Source organism: Homo sapiens, chromosome 2, assembly GCF_000001405.40.
Source record: "Homo sapiens chromosome 2, GRCh38.p14 Primary Assembly".
Taxonomy (NCBI): Eukaryota; Metazoa; Chordata; class Mammalia; order Primates; family Hominidae; genus Homo; species Homo sapiens.
Window position 1 is genome coordinate 162,444,191 of NC_000002.12, and position 13,933 is coordinate 162,458,123.

The following is a 13,933-nucleotide window of genomic DNA, read 5'->3' on the forward strand; positions in this document are numbered from 1 at the left end:
CCATCCCCTACCCCTCTTCCTCAATTCTAGAATGTAAGTTCCTGGACAACACAAACTTTGTCTGATTTACTTCTGAATCTCTAAACCTAGGACAGTGGCTGTCACTTTGAAGGGTACCTAACAAAAAATTTTTGAATAAATAAAGTATTATATTAGTAATTAAGAGTAATGCAGAAAATAGAACTGAGAGCATCACTGAACAATTCTAGGTTTCAACAGTCTCATTCTGTAAATAGTACTTTAGCTTCCTAGGCAGAGGATTGAACTAGATAATTTCCTGTGGTTACTTCTAGTTCTAAGATCTACATTGGCAGCAGTACTAGATTTTAATTTGGGGGTAACACTTACATTATGTCCAGAATTTTTAGTGCATTTTAAAATTCAGACTTTAAAATTTAAAAGACACAAACTTCTTACAACTTCTCCCATTATACTTCTAAGCTTGTCTACAAATCACTAATGTTTGCTGTTGGTGCATATATTTTAACTTTTGAAAGAATGAGGTTTTATTTTATTGTTCATCAACATAAGCTTATTTGGTGCAATGATGTGAACCACCCATTATAAGAAACTCAAAGATATATATTAATAAAGAAATATTTCACTCTCTTTTAGTTAAAACCCAAAGTTAGGAGTAGCTAATATTAAAAGTTCAGCTAATTAAGAACAGCTGATTTTTAAAAAGTATTTTGCTGAGTCACATGTACTATCTCATTAGAGTCTCAAATTAGAAAAAAAAAAGCAAGAGGAGAAGGTAATATTATTATCATCCTTTTACAGATGAGGAAAGTCAGGTTGGGACTTTGTTTAAAATTGTAGAACCCAGGAAAAATGTATTGTTTCATTGCCCTGCTCTTAACTGACTCACAGTTCGATCAGAGTTTATTTCTAACAAATAAATAGATTTAGAAATAAAATCTTTTGGTTCCCCTTGGTCGAGGAGGATTATGTTGTTCTAAAGCCTTCATTGGCTAGGAAGCAGCCATCTGCCAAGAGGAGGTGGTCTCCTCTTTGTTGGGGAGAGAAGGAAGTTGGTGCAGGGCAGGGTTCTTATGTAGAAAAAGACACAATTTTTAAAAATCCAACATATCGAGGATTTTTTCAACCTATTCCCTTGGAACTACTTTCAAGCATTCTATAAATCTTTCTGTTACAGAATTCAGAAAGTTTATAAATGGTAAAAATAATGGAAATTAGATGAAGTGAACTGTAGGAAAACTTAACTTCTTTTGGATCAAAGAGTCTTTTGAGGAGCTGATTAAAGTTCTGGACTCTCTATCCAGAAAATGCACAATACATACACTTCTCGTATTTTCTTAGTTTCCAACTTTATTAGGCATTGGGATACACAAAAAGTACTTTCCAAGCTGAATATTATTTAAGAGAAAGCATATTTGAATAAGACATTTCGGAAGGTGCCCTCTTCACATAATTTGAACAAAAAACAAATCTCTGCTGTCTCAAACCTTAACAATGAGTTAAGAAAAACAGAGACATACTTAATATTTGAGAGTTTTACACCCGTGAAGTTAATAAGTAGAGATTTTAAATCCTGGGAATGTGCTGTGTGCTATGGACCACTTGTTTCCAAGTTTAATTTGGTGGGTAAAGAATGGAGAATCTTTTGCATCTCTTAGCAAAAAGAGAAAGAATTTGATTTGCAATGGCAAAATGGTTTCATTTCATTCTGTAGTATCCCCAATTGAAAATGAATTTTATCAGTGAGATACAAGAAGCTTGCAAAGCAACTCTTCTTTTTGCAGTTAAAATAGATTCACTTTTATAATTGCAATCTTTCAGAAAATAAGAATCTTAAGCAGTTCTTACCTCATCAGAACCTGATCCAAAAATCAGCAAGTCAAAAGGAATTGCTGCAACCATGTCAATCAGGAACCAGCCTTTGAAGTAGTGTATTGCTATTTTGGCGGGATCACTTACCACTTCTTCATTCTGATTTACATATGTTGTTCTGAAGTTTATTAAAATATCTATGATAAACATAATATCCACAATCAAGTCTACCACATTCAAAGGGCTACAAGAATAGCCACATTCTCGTCTTTTCTGTTCTTCTCTGTCATTGAGGAGGAAGGCTGCAGAGTAGGGAGTAAATATAGCAGTGTATATGACCAACAGCAGGATAAGCCAGTCCCAGACTGCCTTGAAAGGGCTGTAGTGCAATATCGTAAACTTGTTGATGCGTGGTGTCTGCAGTTTGTATTCAGGTAGGACATCTGCTCCTAAAGAGAGAACCTGAATGTGCAAAAGAAAATCATACACTACATAAATATGCCATTTTTAATCTGGTAAACCTATCAAATATTAAGGGAACTAATTATACAGTAAAATTTATTAGAGAGAATTCATGTAATTTGGAAGTATTTATGAAACACACACATACATTACATAAACCCATATAAACTTATACAGTGTATTTGGCTCAAGAAAATCACAATGGCATTTCTTGATAAATATGAATTTCACTGAAAAAATAATAAATATTGCCACTGAGATACTGAGGAATGTTACTGTTTCCTTTGGAACGTAGTACATCTCAGATGTAAAAATACATGGCTGTTTTTAGAAAATCACAAAGTTGGTTTTGATATATTAGTAATGCAGTTTTCAAATCTAGGAAAGGATTAGTTGTTATGAATAGAAGCAGTCTACTTGGATCCATGGTCACATTTAATTTACATATATTTAATTTATAATTACACCTTGATAAATTAAACCCAACTCATTCAAATTTTAATTAAGCAGAATTTCCCACCTGCAATCTGTTTTTAACATTAGGGGAAAAAAGGCAAATGAGATTAAAATGAACACAAAAGAGGCTTTTCCTTAAAAGGTTGAGAGAGTATTTGATATTCCGGGACAAATACACTTGCATTCCAACCCTTCCATCACATTTAGAGAACTGCAAAAAGAAAATGCTACAAGGAGATGTTCAGAATATTGACCTGGAAATGTTGCAAGGTGTTTAGACACCAAGTGGTACTTCACCTCCAAGATTTATTCTCCTTATAAGGCATCAGATAAACTAAAACAGTTCACCTTTTAGAGTTTTAGTTTACCTGAAAAAAATGAAAGCTAAAGTACAGTTTTGTCTCTACCAAGTAGAAAAGTCCATGATTTAGTGATTTAAGACTAAGTTTTAAAAACAAAAGTCAAAACAAAAAGGTTACTTAGCTACCCAGTAAGTGTAATTTATTGGGTAAAATGTAAGCCTTAATATATGGGTTTTAAAAAGCTGAAATTTTGTAATGGCTCCACAAATGGCATAAAAAGAGCAATTTAAAAAGGGAAATGTGGGTTCTAATTTAATGCTATGAATATCCCACACATATACAATGGCTCTATTTCAAAGTTAATTTCACTGAGTACATTTCCATAGACTAGATTGTTCTAAACACAATTAATACATCATCAGCTTTGCAGCATGGATCTCAGGTAATCCTCCATTGGTTAGTCAGAGAGTGTTATTTCTGTGTTTTTGGCAATTCTATTCATGTTGTTTTAACTTGACTGTAGTAATGAATTATGTCACGTGTACTTGAAATTTAAATCTTATATTTATTGTCATATCTCGTACCTTTTTATCCCCACATAATGAGTTACCATCCCTAGTTTTAAAAGGACTTTGAAAGTTAAATAACCCCAAATGAGACACAATATAACTTTTAAATATAACAAAAGATTCAGCTAAAATAGGCAAAGCTGCTTTTTGATAACTGCTAAACTACTTTAACTAGTTTTCAAAAAATAATAAAGAATCTGACCTGACCACTTAATCAGTCCACTGTAAATTTGAACCAGCCAGTTTATAGAGAGAACAGGGTTTTATTTTAAGCTATTATGAGAAATGATGGCAGCTAATTATTAGCAAAAGAGCAATCTGGAAAATAAAGTGATTTTGTTATCTGTGAAATATTGAAAGTCCAAGATACACACATATATAAGTATATGACTTTCAAAATCCAAACGGGAGTAATTAAATTATCTGTCATTTTAGAAGTACAGATTAATAGAACTCTGATCCCATTATGCTTAGTATAGAGAACCAGTGTGTGACATTTTGGTCTGTACAAAAGGAAATATGTCATGTTCCTTTCTAGAAAAGCAGAACTACTCAGTATATAGAAAGCAAAATACACAGCTTTATTTTGGCTTTCAAAGTCATTAAAGTCATTTAAAATATGGACCCATTCCATCTTTCTAGTCCTTTCTTCCATTAGATTCCTGTGTACCCAGGGCACTCCAGCAAAACAAGACTAAAATTTTTGAGCTGCTGAGATCTTTCCATATCCTTAAATCCACAAATCTTTTTCATAAAAAAGGCGTGTAGTCAATCAAAGAGGAAAAATAAGTCACTTTTAATGACAGGTATATTTGTGTGAGTTTGCTCACTGCTTAGGTGACAAACTTCCGATACTAACCTCCCACATGGGGCAATTGCAATACCTCTTTTAGCAGAAGTATGAATTAGAATGCAAACAGCAATCTTGGAACTGTGGCTGAAACTCTTTCCATCCCACATAGGCACACAGGCACACCTTCATTTAACATTCAGATGACCACTGTGCTAAGAGCTGGAGATTGAAAGATGGGGAAGACACTGTCCCTGAGATCTTGGAGTTTGTAGTCTGTTTGGAGACAGATGTGTGGGAAAATGGGAGTCCCCTTGAGGTCCACTTCACTCAGGGCCTGGGATTGGTGATGGTGCTGATGGAGTAGGTGGGTAGTCTTCACAGAGGATTTTTGGGAAAAGATGGCAGTTGAACTGAGACTGAATAGGAGTCAGAAAAGGACACAGCTAAGGGATGAGGAAGTTGGGAAGGGAAGGATATTACAAGCAGAGGGGACAGAATGAACAAGGGTAAGAAAGCATAAAATCATGTGTTGTGTGTTGGGGAATTGTAAGCAGCCTTATATTTTACTAAAGAATAAAATGCCAGGGAAGTAGGGTAGAGGACGGCCATGGAGAGGGCCAGTTCCAGGTTGCTGAAGGTCTAATGTGACTGGATAGGGATCTCAGGCTCTGTACTTTAGGTCAACCTTCTCATACAGGAATAATATACAGGCTCTTTTTTTAAAAGGAAAGACAATTATTGCAGGATTTATATTATTCTTATTTACAATGTTAGATAAATATGTTCAAAAATAAAAACAGATTAGAACTTCTTATGCTTATAACTCTTAATATGACTTGTGGGTTAAATTGTGTACCCTACAAGGATGTGTTGAAGTCATAATTCCCAGTACCTATGAATGTGACTTTATTTGGAAAGAGGGTTTTTGTAGATATAAATCAAGTTAAGATGAGGTCACAGTGGTTTGGGGTGGGCCTTAATCCAATAACTGGTATCCCTATAAGAAGAGAGAAGTTTGGATACAGAGACAGAAAGACACACAACCAAAATGCCATGTGTCACGGGAGCAGATACAGCTGCAAGCCAAGGAATGCTGTGGATTGTCCACAGCCACCAGAACCTCAAATAGAGACAGGCACAGGATGTATTTTCCCTCAGAACCTCCAGAAGGAAACAACCTTGCCCACATCTTGATTTCAGACTTCTAGACCACAGAATTGTGCAAAAATAAACTTCTGTTGTCTTAAGCCACTCAGCTTGTGGTAGTTTATTATGGCAGCCCTGAAAAAACTAATACAATGACAAAAAATGAAAACACTTGAAAATAAAATATTTATAAAACAGTGAATTCAAACTCTCATTACTAACTCAATATCTGACATTTCTGTAGATCAAAAATGATTGAAATTTGACTATTGTGTATGGCTTAATCTAATAGATACAACATTTTTCTCTGTTCTAATCTTAATGTATTTTTTGAAAAAGTATGTTGTCAGAGTAGTATTACCAACTTCAAAGATTTACTTGCGTTATCATGATAAACTAACCTAATTCTTAATGTGAACTCTGTTCCTATTAGGCTTCAAAAGCCAATTTAAATGGTGTTACTTGAAAACTATACAAATATTTTTCTTTACTTAAGTTTAGCTTTAGGGCATTATTGAATTCTACATTAAGTGATTATCTAAACACATTATCTCTTAGTACTGGGAGTTCATGTGTTGTATTCCAATACGCCCATTGACACAGAACCACTGCAATTTGGTATGTATAACAATGGAGTGTGTTTTGACAATGCATTTGTAGAAACTGGTATGGTATCAAATGTTATGGTACTGGTTCTTTTGATTTCTGCATCATTATGCATGTTTTATGTGACCGTTTAATTGTCTCATGACTTTTAATAGCCAAACAACTTCAAAAAGCTTTATTTATATAGCAAGCATTAGCATCATGAGGTAAATCCAAATGCAGTCATCATTACTGTAATCAGGTAGATGGCAGTACTTTGTTATTAGGTAATCATCTTAATGATTCAGAAGATTCTTATATTTATTGTTTTAAATTTTCACCAAGATACAGGAATTTTGAAGATTTTTCAGGACTCGTGGCCTTCTGAGAACATTTCTTTCTATGGATATCAGTTTGAGAATTATTAAATATTATTAGGCAGAGGAATCAAGGTGGCCAAGTTTGGTTTTTGACAGATGCATCTGGCAATGGAATGGAGGAAAAATGAAAGAGGATCAAGACCAGATACTTAGAGATCAATTAGGACTTTGGTATGCCAGGAGGGAAGTAATGGAAGCCTACACTAGGAACCAGGTGGCAGAAATTGAGAGGAGGGGATATATTTGAGAATAGATACATCTCAGGGTATAAGGATGAGGAGTGGAGAAATACTTGTTTCTTTATGGTTCCAATAATAGCAAATCTTATTAGACCCAATCAGGTAATATAAATCTTTGAAGTGTTTGGAATAAAGGAAAGAGCACTAGACCTTAAATTCTACAATCTGGGTTTGAAGTCCAGATACAATTGTTCTGATATGCCATTTAATCTCTAGACCTAGTTCTTTTTTTAAAAAAATTGTGTAATGTAGATAGTAATCTTTGCAAAAACCACCTATCTATCCAGAGCTACCATATAACATCAGATATTTTTTATAAAAGTAGTTGGTAAAATGGGAAATGTTTACAGATGCATAAAATATTTTCATTATTGTTTTGAGTTCTAGGGTTATCTGTTGAAATCCTGGTTCAAACGAACCAACTCTATCCAAAATATTTAAAAACTGATTGGATAAAGCTGTATATTGACTGAATATTGATAATATTACAGAATTGTTTTAGTTATCTATTCCTTGTATCAAATCAAACCAAAACATAGTGACCTAAAGTAGTCATTTTGTTACTTATGATTCTATGGATCCAAAATTTAGGCAGGTCTTGGCTAGTCAATTTTTCTTCTCCACAGAATGTCAACTGGGGTAATTCAGTGATGTTTAGTTGGTGGGGGAGCTTGTGTGGAGAGTCCAAGAAGGCTTCATTCACATGTCTAGTACTTTGATGAAGATAGTTGGAAGGCTGGGCTCACCCAAGATGCTGGAGTGGCTGGGTCTCTCTCTATATATGTAGATAGATAGTTTGATCAATCAATAAATAAATAGATATGTTCTCTCCTATGGTCTCTTAAGCAGGGTAGTAAGATGTGGTGGCTCAGCACTCCCAAAAGAAGTGGAAACTCCCAGGCTTCTTCAGGTCAAGGTCTAGAACTTCTATAGCCTCACTTGTGCCATATTCTATTGGGAAAAGTAGAAGCAGGCCAGCCCAGATTCATGAAAGTAGGGGAATGCTCTCTATCTCTTGACAGGGAAATGATATGCATGTGGAAAGGAAGGATTCAATCAGTTAGGGTTATCTTGGAGACAAACTATCACAGAAATTATTGACAATTATTGTTTGTAGATACGGAAATGATATTATAGTTATGTGCTTTTAAAAATAGTCTTTACCTTTTCAGAGTACAGAGTGAAATATTTATAAAGGAAATGTTATAATATTTGGGCTTTGCCTCAGAACAATCCAGAGTTGGGGGAGAAGAAGGAGAGAGAAGGTCTGAATTTTAGCTGTATATTGATTTTTATTGAAACTGAATGATGGATAGTTACTATTTATTTATAATAAACTTAAAATTTTTCAAAATAAACAGGTTAAGAAAAGAATTCTAGAATCTTATTCAGAAATGTCTAAGATAGTTAAGAATGGAGTTTCCTGATTGAAAAAAAGAAATAGGTTTACAAACATCATAGAGGCTTACCTCTGTAAGAATTGAGTTGGTTTCTTATTAGGCAAATTTAGATTCCTGTTTACACAGCAGAATGTTTACTTTGCCTTCTGCATATCTAGTTCATATTATGTAGATCTGTGTTCAGCCATACAGACTGGACACAACCCCAATTTTGCCCAACCTTGAACTCTTTGACATCAAGCTTCTGTTAAGTTGGTGGATGGGAAAATCATGTTCCAAGATACTCAGAGATGCTAACTGCAGAGGTCCATTGCTCTGAGTGTACTTAGCTACATTGCTCATTAAGTTAGATTAAAATACAGCCACATTTCAGAGACTCATCACCTTAGGTCTCTTACTGAAATACTTTTACTTTGCTAGAGTTACATATTAAACCTTCAAGCTTTCATTCTGGATTGAATATATAAGAAGTATATTTTTGCATTTTTCTCAGAAAACTGCCACTAAATGTTTACATTGTTTAATGTCATTTTAATAAATATTTGCATTACATATTTCTTTTAATATTCGTTTCTAGGAAACGGTTGGTCTCTCAAGGAATTTAAAAGTTTCCTCTCTCTCTCTTATTTTATTTCATTTTTATTTCACTTTAAGTTCCAGGATACATGTATAGAATGTGCAGGTTTGTTACATAGGTATACATGTACCATGGTGGTTTGCTGCACCTATCAACCCATCATCTAGCTTTTAAGCCCCACATGCATTAGGTATTTGTCCTAATGCTCTCCCTCCTCTTGCCCCCTACCCCAACAGGCCTCTGTGTGGGTGTGTGTTGTTCCCCTCCCTGTGTCCATGTGTTCTCATTGTTCAACTCCCACTTATAAGTGAGAACATGCAGTGTTTGGTTTTCTGTTCCTGTGTTAGTTTGCTGAGAATGATGGCTTCCAGCATTGTCCATGTCCCTGCAAAGGATATGATCTCATTCTTTTTTATGGCTGCATAGTATTCCATGGTGTACATGTGCTACATTGTCTTTATCCAGTCTATCATTGATGGGCATTTGTGTTGGTTCCAAGTCTTTGCTATTGTGAATAGTGCTGCAATGAACATACATGTGCATGTGTCTTTATAGTAGAATGATTTATAATCCTTTGGGGATATACCCAGTAATGGGATTGCTGGGTCAAATGGTATTTCTGGTTCCAGATTCTTGAGGAATTGCCACACTGTCTTCCACAATGGTTGAACTAATTTACACTCCCACCAACAGTGTAAAAGCATTCCTGTTTCTCCACAGCCTTGCCAGCGTCTTTGTTTCTTGATCTTTTAATAATCGTCATTCTGACTGTCATGAGATGGTATCTCACTGTGGTTTTAATTTGCATTTCTCTAATGATCAGTGGTGAAGAGCTTTTTTTCATATGTTTCTTGGCCACATAAATGTGTTCTTTTGAGAATGTGTGTTCATATCCTTCACCCACTTTTTGATGGGGTTGTTTTTTTCTTGTAAATTTTAAGTTCCTTGTAGATTCTAGATATTAGAACTTTGCCAGATGGGTAGATTGGAGAAATTTTCTCCCATTCTGTAGGCTGCCTGTTCAGCCTGATGCTAGTTTCTTTTTCTGTGCAGAAGCTCTTTAGTTTAATTAGATACATATGTAAATTTTGGCTTTTGTTGCAATTGCTTTTGGTGTTTCAGTCATGAAGTCTTTGCCCAAGCCTATGTCCTAAATGGTAGTGCCTAGGTTTTCTTCTAGAGTTTTTACAGTGTTGGTTTTTACATTTAAGTCTTTAATCCATTTTGAGTTAATTTTTCTATAAGGTGTATCGAAGAGGTCCAGTTTCAGTTTTCTGCATATGGCTAGCCAGTTTTCCCAGCACTATTTATGAAACAGGGAATCCTTTCCTCATTGCTTTGGTCAGGTTTGTCGAATATCAGGTTGTTGTATATGTGTGGTGATATTTCTGAGGCCTCTGTTCTGTTCCATTGGTCTGTATATCTGTTTTGGTACAAGTACCATGTTGTTTTGGTTACTGTAGCCATGTAGCATAGTTTGAAGTCAGGTAGCGTGATACCTCCAGCTTTGTTATTTTTGCTTAGGATTGTCTTGGCTATACCAGCTCTTTTTTGATTCCATATGAAATTTAAAGTAGATTTTTTCTATTTCTGTGAAGAAAGTCAATGGTAGCTTGATGGCAATAGCATTGAATCTATAAATTACTTTGGACAGTATGGCCATTTTCATGATATTGATTCTTCCCATCCATGAGCATGGAATGTTTTTCCATTTGTTTGTGTCCTCTCTTATTTTCTTGAGCAGTGATTTGTAGTTCTCCTTGAAGAAGTCCTTCACACCCCTTGTAAGTTTTATTCTCTTTGTAGCAATTGTGAACAGAAGTTCATTCATGATTTGGCCCTCTGCTTGTGTATTGTTGGTGTACAGGAATGCTTGTCGTTTTTGCACATTGATTTTGTATCCTGAGACTTTCCTGAAGTTGTTTATCAGCTTAAGAAGTGTTTCGGCTGAGAAGATGGGGTTTTCTAAATATAGAATCATGTCAGCTGCCAAAAGAGACAATCTGACTTCCTCTATTCCTATTTGAATACGCTTTATTTCTTTCTCTTGCCTGATTGCCCTGGCCAGAACTTCCAATACTATCTTGAATAGGAGTGGTGAGAGAGGGCATCCTTGTCTTGTGTCAGTTTCCAAAGGGAATGCTGCCTGCATTTGCCTACTCAGTATGATATTGGCTATGGGTTTGTCATAAATAGCTCTTATCATTTTGAGATATGTTCCATCAATGTCTAATTTATTGAGAGTTTTAAACATGTAGGGATGTTGAATTTTATCAAAGGCCTTTCCTGCATCTACTGAGATGATGTGAATTTTGTCATTGGTTCTGTTTACATGATGGCTTATGTTTATTGATTTTCATATGTTGAACCAGCCTTGCGTCCCAGGGATGAAGCCGACTTGATCATGGTGGATAAACTTTTTGATGCCCTGCTGGATTTGGTTTGCCAGTATTTTATAGAGGATCTTCACATCAATGTTCATCAGGGATATTGGTCTGAAGTTTTCTCTTTTTTGTGTGTATGTCTGCTGGGTTTTGGTATCAGGATGATTCTGGCCCCATAAAATGAGTTAGGGAGAAGTCCCTCTTTTTCTGTTGTTTGGAATAGTTTCAGAAGGAATAGTACCAGCTCCTCTTTGTACCTCTGGTAGAATTCAGCTGTAAATCCGTCTGGTCCTGGGCTTTTTTTGGTTAGTAGGCTATTAATTACTGCCTCAATTTCAGAACTTGTTATCAGTTTATTCAGGGATTTGATTTCTTACTGGTTGAGTCTTGGGATGGTGTATGTGTCCAGGAATTTATCCATTTCTTCTAGATTTTCTAGTTTATTTGCATAGAGGTGTTTATATTATTCTCTGATGGTGGTTTGTATTTCTGTAGGGTCAGTGGTGACATCCCCTTTATCATTTTTTTATTGTGTCTATTTGATTCTTCTCTTTTCTTCTTTATTAGTCTAGCTAGTGGTCTATCTATTTTGTTAATCCTTTCAAAAAGCCGGCTCCTGAATTCATTGATTTTTTGAAGGGTTTTTCGTGTCTCGATCTCCTTCAGTTCTGTTCTTATCTTAGTTATTTCTTGTCTTCTGCTAGCTTTTGAATTTGTTTGCTCTTGCTTCTCTAGTTCTTTTAATTGTGATGTTAGGGTGTTGATTTGAGATCTTCCCAGCTTTCTGATGTGGGCAATTAGTGCTATAAATTTCCCTCTTAACACTGTTTTAACTGTGTCCCAGAGATTCTGGTATGTTGTCTCTTTGTTCTCATTGGTTTCAAAGAACTTCTTGATTTCTGCCTTAATTTCTTTCTCTACTCAGCAGTCATTCAGGAGCAGGTTGTTCAATTTCCATGTAGTTGTGAGGTTTTGAGTAATTTCTTAATCCTGAGTTCTAATTTGATTGGACTGTGGTTATATTTTATAATGTTATAATTTCCATAATACATAATGGAAATTATAATTTATACATTATACAAATTATAATTTATACATTCCTTATATAATTTCCATTCTTTTGCATTTGCTGAGGAGTGTTTTACTTGCAATTATGTGGTCGATTTTAGAATAAGTGTCATGTGGCACTGAGAAGAATGTATATTCTACTGATTTGGGGTGGAGAGTTCTGTAGACATCTATTACGTCCACTTGATCCACAGCTGAGTTCAAGTCTTGAATATCCTTGTTAATTTTGTGTCTCGATCTGTCTAATATTGAGAGTGGGGTGTTAAAGTCTCCCACTATTATCACGAGGGAGTCTAAGTCTCTTTGTAGGTCTCTAAGAACTTGTTTTATGAATCTGGGTGCTCCTTTACTGGGTGCATATATATTTAGGATAGTTAGGTCTTCTTGTTACATCAGTCTCTTTACCATTATGTAATGCCCTTCTTTGTCTTTTCTGATCTTTGTTGGTTTAAAGTTTGTTTTATCAGAGACTAGGATTTCAAACCCCTGCTTTTTTTTGCTTCCATTTGCTTGTTAAATATTCCTCCATACTCTCTCTCTCTTTCCTTTTTTAATAAGACAATAGGTTATTTAGTTAATTGTCTCCTTTTTTTCTTCTTGCAGAAAACTGAGTTTAGAATTACAGAATTATTATTCCTGTTTCCCTTTAATTTGTTTGAATTGGTCAATTTTAATTTTTAATGACCTAAATGCAAATGTATTTTTATAAGGTCTACTCCTATCTCTTTGAAAGTCACAAATAAGTTAAAATTAATCAAGACAGTGCTTTGGAGCCATCCTTTCTGAAAATGAAGCACTAACAAAGTAAATGTTTTAACAACATGAATAGGATTCTAAGAAGCCAATGACTAAAAAGGAAAAAAGCTGCTACACAGTCTTACATTTCCTTAAGAAAGCCAACTTCTCCCACACATTTGAGAAATAACATACTTCAGGAAGATAAAACATGATTAATTGAACTATTACGAGGATTTTCTTTTAAGAGAGAGAGAAAAAAATAAGGAATAAAAAAAGGGAAACTCCATGGCCTCCAGAAAGATTTACATTTTCTCTTTTCTCAAACCACTAATTAAGCATACAGTTTAGTACAGCCTAAAATGTAGTTTTCTTTACCAAATACAATTTTTCTTCATGCTAGTACACTGCTATTTGTTTAACCTCTAACAGTTAAGTGTTATATAAAACCAAAACCTTTATATGAAACAGAACTATTTATTCAATGAAGATCTACTGTGAAAATTTTGTGCGAACACCAGGATTAGTAACTACTCTTCACTTTCAAAAAGTGCAATAGAGAACGATTAAGCTTTCCAAAAGATTATACAGTACTTTTGGCAGCTGTTAAACGCCATGATGAGGTGTTGGTTGAAGCTGCTCATCAGTTATTTATCCTTTACTCGGGACTTGCACTTAACTAATAGGCTAGCTGTATTTTTATCTATCACAGAGAGCACGCAGTAACAAAATGAATCAGATAGATTATATAGCATCGGGAAGGACTTAAACTCCCCAGGCTTTTCAGCATATGATTTGTGAAAAACAGCCAAACCTGAGTAATTATCACTGAAACCAGCAATCTCATTGATGATTACCTATTCAAATTATAAGATGGAAAAGCATCACACAATAAATCAAAGATGTCACATAGGAAGTCATTTTTTAATTGAATAAAATATTAAAATTAGGTAGTAGAATCACTTCAGTGTTCTGTATTTAAATGATTTTGCAAGGCTTAGATTAAAATAGATATTTGGCTATGTGCGTGTGTGTGTGTGTGTGTG

General features: G+C 34.8%; 1 protein-coding gene across 7 annotated transcripts in view; it reads right to left on the reverse strand.

Moving 5' to 3' along the window:
- The window catches only part of KCNH7 (potassium voltage-gated channel subfamily H member 7), a 467,361-nt gene that overhangs the window by 72,784 nt on the left and 380,644 nt on the right, over positions 1-13,933 (reverse strand). For all 7 annotated transcript variants that reach the window (XM_017005220.3, XM_017005219.3, NM_033272.4 and 4 more), the window contains one exon: positions 1,828-2,253. In XM_017005220.3, the coding sequence (XP_016860709.1) occupies positions 1,828-2,253 (426 nt within the window). The remainder of the gene's footprint in view (positions 1-1,827; positions 2,254-13,933) is intronic.